The 1,884-nt window shown below is 47.2% G+C and overlaps 1 annotated feature.

Moving 5' to 3' along the window:
* Positions 794–1,088: an enhancer, noted in NCBI's record as "tiled region #4133; HepG2 Activating non-DNase unmatched - State 3:PromF, and K562 Activating DNase matched - State 4:PromP". NCBI's record gives its function as "activates a minimal TATA promoter and a strong SV40 promoter by Sharpr-MPRA in HepG2 and K562 cells {active_cell/tissue: HepG2 | K562}" and the evidence as "EXISTENCE:reporter gene assay evidence [ECO:0000049][PMID:27701403]".

Here is a 1,884-nt window from a genome sequence, read left to right as displayed (position 1 = left end):
CTAGGCTTCCCCGGCAGCTATGCCCCTCAGAAGCTGTTAACTGCTCGGATGTTATCAGTTTCCATGGAGTACAGCAATGGACATCTGATGTTTTTCTCTGCCCAATACAGCTTCCCTTCTTCTGGTAACAGACCTTCACTTTCTCTTTGGGAAGCCACCTTCCCCATCCCAGATTATGTTCCCCCAGATCGAAGAAGGTGTTATTCTACCCCCTCCGTCCTGAAGGAAAGTGATTGTTTAAGCTCCAGACCTAAGTTAGGCCAATTCGAAGCAATGAATGAAAGTCAGGCCCTGGGATTCCTCTCCAAGAAGTTTTGTCGTTGGACTTCAATTCGGTGGGCTGTAGCCTCCATACTGGGAATATTCTATAGGGACAGAATCTGATGGAGAATGAAGCCAGCATGTTGGTCAGCACAGGCACAGGATGGGGAGAAAGGGACCAGGTCCTTCTGAGAAACAGAATTCAGCCATGTCTGAGCCAGGTTCACAGTCGCCTAAGTCATTAAATTCTCTTTAACCTTCAGCTCCCTGAAGTTGGGTTCTGCAAGAAGAGTCCTGACTAATATTTCACAACTTGGGCAGCCCAACACCCTCAGCCCTTCCCAATCTAGGGAGAGTTCTCTTCCTTTCCTCAGAACTTCTACTTCCATACCTTGTTCCCAGCACCAGCCTGTCAGGAAGCACAGAGCCAGGAAGGGCACTGCCTAAGATTGCTCACTTTTTCACCTGCCATGCTGCCTTCCTGCTTGGAATGGGTAAGGAAAAGTCACGGTGAGCACAAACACAAGATCTCAGCACAAACACGAGATCTCAGGACAAACACAGTATCTCAGCAGAAACACAAGATCTCAGCACAAACACGAGATCTCAGCACAAACACAAGATCTCAGCACAAACACGAGATCTCAGGACAAACACAAGATCTCAGGACAAACACGAGATCTCAGCACAAACACGAGATCTCAGGACAAACACGAGATCTCAGGACAAACACGAGATCTCAGCACAAACACGAGATCTCAGCACAAACACGAGATCTCAGTGCAGCCAGCTGCCACTGGACCTTCTCCTCTCCTGCTTTCTTAGAATTGATCAATTTTCTCCCATATCCATTTGCTCCCCTCTTCTTTTTTTTTTTTTTTGAGACTAGTTCTCGCTTTGTCGCCCAGGCTGGAGTGCAGTGGCACGACCTCAGCTCACTGCAACCTCTGCCTCTCAGGTTCAACCAATTCTCCTGCCTCAGCCTCTAGAGTAGCTGGGACTACAGGTGCACACCACCATGCCCGGCTAATTTTTGTATTTTTAGTAGAGATGGGGTTTCACGATGTTGGCTGGGCTGGTCTCGAACTCCTGGCGTCAAAGTGATCCACCTGCCTCAGCCTCCCAAAGCGCTGTAATTACAGGCATAAGCCACCATGCCCGGCCTCGATTGCTTTGTTTTTAAGCCAATTTAATGCATGGATCACTTACCTTGTGTAAGTCCAGTACGCCTGGAGTTATAAAACAGTCTCTCCCCTTGGAAGGCTCAGGTGTAATAAACAAGAATTTGAAACCAGGAGAGAGTGACTAAGGGAATGTGGATTCAGGGGGAAAAAAGCAGGAAAAAAGTCAACATTTCTAATTTGGAGAAACCGATGACACCACTGAGAGAGCCCCTCAGGGAAGAAGAGGGGGCTGGAGAATCCCTAAAGAGAAGCTTAGATAACACGGGGGAATCAGATGGCAGGATCTGCAGGCATAGGACTCTGAAGGAGACTTGAGAGTCCACTAAATTACAGAATGTTTTTGTTAAATAATGCCTGAGGGATGATCTGATCTGACATGGATAGCTCCTTTTATTTCTTTTAAGTAAAATTAAATCCAACTGTAAGCCCCAATTTCACC

Source organism: Homo sapiens, chromosome 18 (assembly GCF_000001405.40).
Source record: "Homo sapiens chromosome 18, GRCh38.p14 Primary Assembly".
Classification (NCBI taxonomy): domain Eukaryota; kingdom Metazoa; phylum Chordata; class Mammalia; order Primates; family Hominidae; genus Homo; species Homo sapiens.
This window is presented reverse-complemented; position numbering and strand designations above follow the sequence as displayed.